Source organism: Homo sapiens, chromosome 6 (genome assembly GCF_000001405.40).
Source record: "Homo sapiens chromosome 6, GRCh38.p14 Primary Assembly".
NCBI lineage: Eukaryota > Metazoa > Chordata > Mammalia > Primates > Hominidae > Homo > Homo sapiens.
The window spans coordinates 164,079,470-164,084,576 of NC_000006.12; the positions used below are offsets into that span (position 1 = coordinate 164,079,470).

Consider the following 5,107-nt stretch of genomic DNA (forward strand, 5'->3'; position numbering starts at 1 on the left):
GGCTGCAGTGGGAGCCATCTGTCACCTGGGTCCCCATGGCAGGTGCCCTCCATGGCCACACAGAACCCCTCCTGCATGTGTGTGAGGACACCACTCCCAGTGCTTGAGAGCCTCTTTCAGAAGGGAAACACAGAAGAGACAGGATAATGGGACAACCACTGCCTGCCACACATTGGCCTTGGGGACCACCTGAGCCCACCATCCTCTATGGAGCTGCCACTTATTCAGGTCTTAGTGGCTGCACCAGTTTGCTGTGGCTGCCATAATAAAGCCCCACAAGCTGGTGGCTTAAAACAGCAGTGACTCCCTCGCAGTCCTGGAGGCCAGAAGCCTGCAACCAAGGTGTGAGCAGGGCCAGGCTCCCTCAGATGCCTTTGTGGGAGGATCCTCCTTTGGTGGCAGCATCACTCCAGCCTCTTCTGTCTTCTGTCTATGGCTTTGTCTCTCCTCCTCTCATGAGGACACCAGTCATCTTAGATCAGGGCTCATCCTCGAGGCCTCATCTCAACTTCATTCCATCTATAAAGACCCTGTTCCGAGTCAGATAACATCCTCAGGCATCAGGGGTTAGGACACGAATGCATCTTGTTGGGTAACACACTTCAACCCATCACAGGGGCACAACTGGTGGTGTGGGCAGTGTGGGCCCTCAGCTTTCATCCCTTCTCAGGCCAGGGCTGCTGCATATTTCTAGCTGCAGTTGTTTGGGATGGCAGAGGGGCTGCCTGACTCCCGTGTGCATTCTTCCCTGTCCCATTGTGGAAAAGCAGCTCTTTTCCTGCTGGCAAGGCCATGCCCTCACCAAGACGGTGGCTCCAATTCTCACGGCTCGTCCCTGGACACGAGCAGTACGCAGCAACAAGACAGGAGCCACCGCTGTGGCAGAGGGGCTTGGCCCTCCCATCCTGCAGATCCCAGAGCTGCGGAGGCGGGAGGTAGGATCTCCTTCAGTTGGTCAAGAGGAGTGATGTGAGGGGGTCCATGCCTGCTTTCACCCCTTGCTCGCTCCCCAACCCAGGTGTTCCCCCTACCCAGGACTCACTGGCATAAGGAGGGCTCTGATTGAGTGCACACACTATGTCCTTGCAGGCTGTTGTCTCCAAGCTGCTCTGTGACAGTGCCTGAAGCAGGCTGTTCCAGAGCTCTGGGGGGCCGCTGTCGCTGGGTAACGTGGGATGTAACATAACCAATGGATTCCATGGTCATGGGGCTGCCTTCCACCTCCGTAGCTGTGAGGAGAGCCCTCCGGTCAGGTGTAAGTCAGTGTCACTTGGCGCTGGGTGATGCTATGCCGACAAGAAAGGCAAACCCGTGCCCACAGATCCTCATCAGCCAGCTCCTGCCTGAGGGTCCCGTGTGGCTCATCCGGGCTGCATCATTTCAAGACAAGTTTGGCTGTTATCAACTCAGCAGTCAGAGCAGGTGTGAGGGCAGCTCCTCTGGGACCAGCACTCCTTGCTTTGCAGGGAGAGACCTCTGCAGTGAGTTCCCATGGGCAGCATGTCAGCTCTTGCTAGGGAGGGCAGCAAAGACTGCGAGCTTTGAGACTGCAGGGGTTCAGCAGAGCTCAGCTGCTCAGGGCCATTCACCCAGACGTCCCAATCCTATGTTTTAAGATTCTCTAGGTTTTCCCAACCAAGACATCCACCTTAGCATAACCCCTGACTTGACTGAGCACGTAAACATCTCTGGAGCTCTGCAACTCTAGCCTTCAAGCCCTGAGGTGCGTCTTCTGTTCCACTGCAGAAACTCTTAGCAAGCTACCCAAGAGGTCTCCTGGCTCTCACACGCATCCTCTAATTGCCCATCTGCAGGTCATCCTTACAGCTGAATAAAAGCCAGCCAACTCCACTGGGCCCTGCACGTCTTTCATACGTTGGTGTCATCACAAAAGCAAAGATCTTCCCTTCCCCAAGACAGTTCCTCAAGTCCCTGTCAGTGAGACACTCAGTCAGGGGTGCCACCAGGTGCCAGGCACTATGCATGCCCCCCACCTTCCACTCAGCATGTGGTCTTCCTTGTCAGGCATGGGAGGCGGAGGTTGTGGTGAGCCACTGCACTCCAGCCTGGGCAACAAGAGCAAACTCCGTCAAAAAAAAAAAAAAAAAAAAAGCCAGGGAAGGATCTGGAGTACGTGAAGTAAGTATCTCAGAAGAGACGATCTTCCCATGGTGCGGGGGATGGATTCCAGTCAGGCAGGCAGTTTAGAGGCAGTTACAGCCACTGGCGAGGGTCCTGCTGAGGAAATGGGAGGAGTGTGATGGCGGAAATAGAGAACAGTGAGAAAGGAACAGCTGTCCCAGATATTCCAAAGGAAAAAACGACAGAATTCAGTCACTGCATACTAAGGGAAAAGGTGAAAGATGAGTTTAAAATGACTGAGAATTTGCATAGGGTAAAGTTGGAAAATATGTTCCATTGATACAGAGTTGGCCTAAAATTGGCTTCATGACAAAAAACTGTGGGGGTTTGAATTTGTTGGTTCATGTTTCTGAAAAGCCCGAGGGTGGATCAGGCACAGGTTGATTCAGGGACTGAAAAGTTCTTCTGGGCCCGCCCCTTTCCTCTGTTTGTGTTCTTGTGGGCTTTCTTCTGGCCCCAGGTGGAGGGTGACATGCTGCCACTACGTCCACCAGCCCCAGTGCTGACAACAACATAATAGGGCCTGTCCCCAGGAGCTCTCGTGGAAGCCCAGAGAGCCACTCAGACCGGACCAAGTGGGTCCACACGACGGCTGCTCCTGGGCCCATTATGTATTTAGGGAGCCCGCGGACCCCTTTGGATCACATGGGCAAGCCTGGAGGCTGGAACCCCCAACCGAACCCCATGGATTGAGGTGGAGGGAGGCACAGTTCCCCAAAGGAAAATCCGGATACTGTCTCAAGAAGGAAAGGTGATGGGTAGACAAATGAAAAACAAAAACAAAAACAAAAACAAAAAAACAACACCAAAAAAAACATGAACCCAGGAGGCGGAGGTTGCAGTGAGCCGAGATCGTGCCATTGCACTCCAGCCTGGGCAATAAGAGCAAAACTCCATCTCAAAAAAACAAAAACAAAAACAAAACAAAACAAACAAAACAGAAACAAAAAAAACCCCAGCCACCATAGGGAGGGAGAAAGTTGAGCTGATTATTAAGAAAAGAAAATGGTTCACACGGAATGAACTGGGGTGTGGGTGAAGGCATCTTCCGCATGTGGTTAACAACTGATGTGATCCTGGAGAAGCCACACTTTAAGTGGAAGTCCTGTGTTTCAGAATTTCAGCTGAAGCCCTAGAGCTGAAAACAACAGACAATAAAAACTCTCACATTCTAAAGAGGGGAGCCTGTCACAAATGGAGCAGGGAAAGGAAGGTTCCATGAGCATCATCCTGAATACCCTCCCCAAGGAAAATTGGATGTGTGGAGGGGGAATCTCAGCCAGGGAATCTGAAGGTGTGAGTGTGAGCTGAGCATTTTCTCTCTTTTTTCCTATAAGGTATGGAGTCAGGATGTTCTTTCTTTCCAATTCTGTCCAAGCTGAATGCAAGAGGGGAGGGTGGGAAGAGACAGCAAGAGAACATAACCATACAGTGTGGAAATGGCGTCAAGAAGAGACTGGTCTCTCACAATACACTGGAGAGCTTGCTCAACTACAGAATCCTTAGGCCCCTCTAGGGTCCCCCAGAGGAGGGGCAAAGTGGCAGAGTGCATGTGCCAGTCTAAGGCAGTGCCCCAGAGAGGGGGATGCATGGAATTAGGCATTGGTTCCTCAGTCTCACCTCAAGAATGCTTAAGAGGGAGGCTGGCTCATGCAGACAGAGAGGGGGTGATGCGGGGGGCAGGGGGTGGCCTATTCTGATACCTTGTGGGGGTAAGGTTGTGGGGCATCTCTTGGTCAAGTGCAGACTGCAGAAGATGGCTGGTGTGGAGGCCTCTTGAGACACCCTGTCCAAGAGGACCACCTGCCGGAAGGAGGGTCCCAGGCTGGAGGCTACAGCACCCTGCTGGGTAGAGGCAGCACTGGCGAGAGAGGAGTCTGCTGAGAATGCATTTCCTGGACTGGAGATCAGGTGGGACAGACACCGTTGAAGCGGTCTCCAAAAATCCCAGAGGGGCCTCTAAAAGAGCCCCTGTGTATGGCCACCTGACTGCCAAATCAGTGTGCCCCAACCACCAATGACATGACCTCTGGGCAAAACTCCAGGATAATGTGAACCACTCGAGAGACTGAAATTTAGGTCTCAATTGGAGTAGAAATTTTATCATATGAAAACTAAAGACACCTGTAATCCCAGCACTTTGGGAGGCCGAGGTTGGTGGATCACTTGAGGTCAGGAGTTCGAGACCAGCCTGGTCAACATAGTGAAACCCTGTCTCTACTAAAGATACAAAATTAGCCAGGTATGGTGGTGTATGCCTGTAACCCCAGCCACTTGGGAGGCTGAGGCAGGAGAATCGCTTGAACCCAGGAGGCGGAGGTTGCAGTGAGCTGAGATCGTGCCATTGCACTCCAACCTGGGCAACAAGAGTAAAACTCCATCAAAAAGAGAGAGAGAGAGAGAAAACTAAATAAAGAGTCCTAACGTTTAATGACTGGAAAGTAATGGCATCTGCCCCATCCAAGGACTAGGAGTGGGGATCCCACAGCTCATGTGTAGGAGAAGCACAAAGCCTTTTCTGGATAGTGTGCCAGTCAGTGAGTCCAGCCCGCTCAACACCCAGTCACCCTGCACCTGAGTGTGGGACATTCCTGTTACTCTGTGCCCATGAACAATCTCCAGACCCGCCTCAGAGTCCATGTCCTCTCCAGAGCCTGCCTTCGCCTTCCTCTTTGTCTCTTCTTTCCAACTCCTTGGCCTGAGCCATTGCTGCTGGTAGAAATAACATTGCCATTCCCTTCTTGAGGACTGTGTCTTCTGTGATTAGTGTCTAAGTTTTTCAAGGACTCTTGGCCTGGTGCATTTGTGTGTAACCACATGGAGAACATGGAGCTTGGACTATGGCTGATAACACTTTTGGGAAGGAGGTCAAGGACAGGATTAGAGGGCAGTAACCCAGGGCCCAGGAACTAGATGGGGCTCTCATCCATCAGATGCTGATGCTAGCAGGAAGAGCCCTGGGCAG

The 5,107-nt window shown here is 52.3% G+C and overlaps 1 annotated feature.

The window, feature by feature from the left end:
- Positions 382 to 883: an enhancer, noted in NCBI's record as "H3K4me1 hESC enhancer chr6:164500883-164501384 (GRCh37/hg19 assembly coordinates)". NCBI's record gives its function as "activates a minimal SCP1, AML or CMV promoter by ChIP-STARR-seq in primed H9 embryonic stem cells {active_cell/tissue: H9 hESC(primed)}" and the evidence as "EXISTENCE:reporter gene assay evidence [ECO:0000049][PMID:30033119]".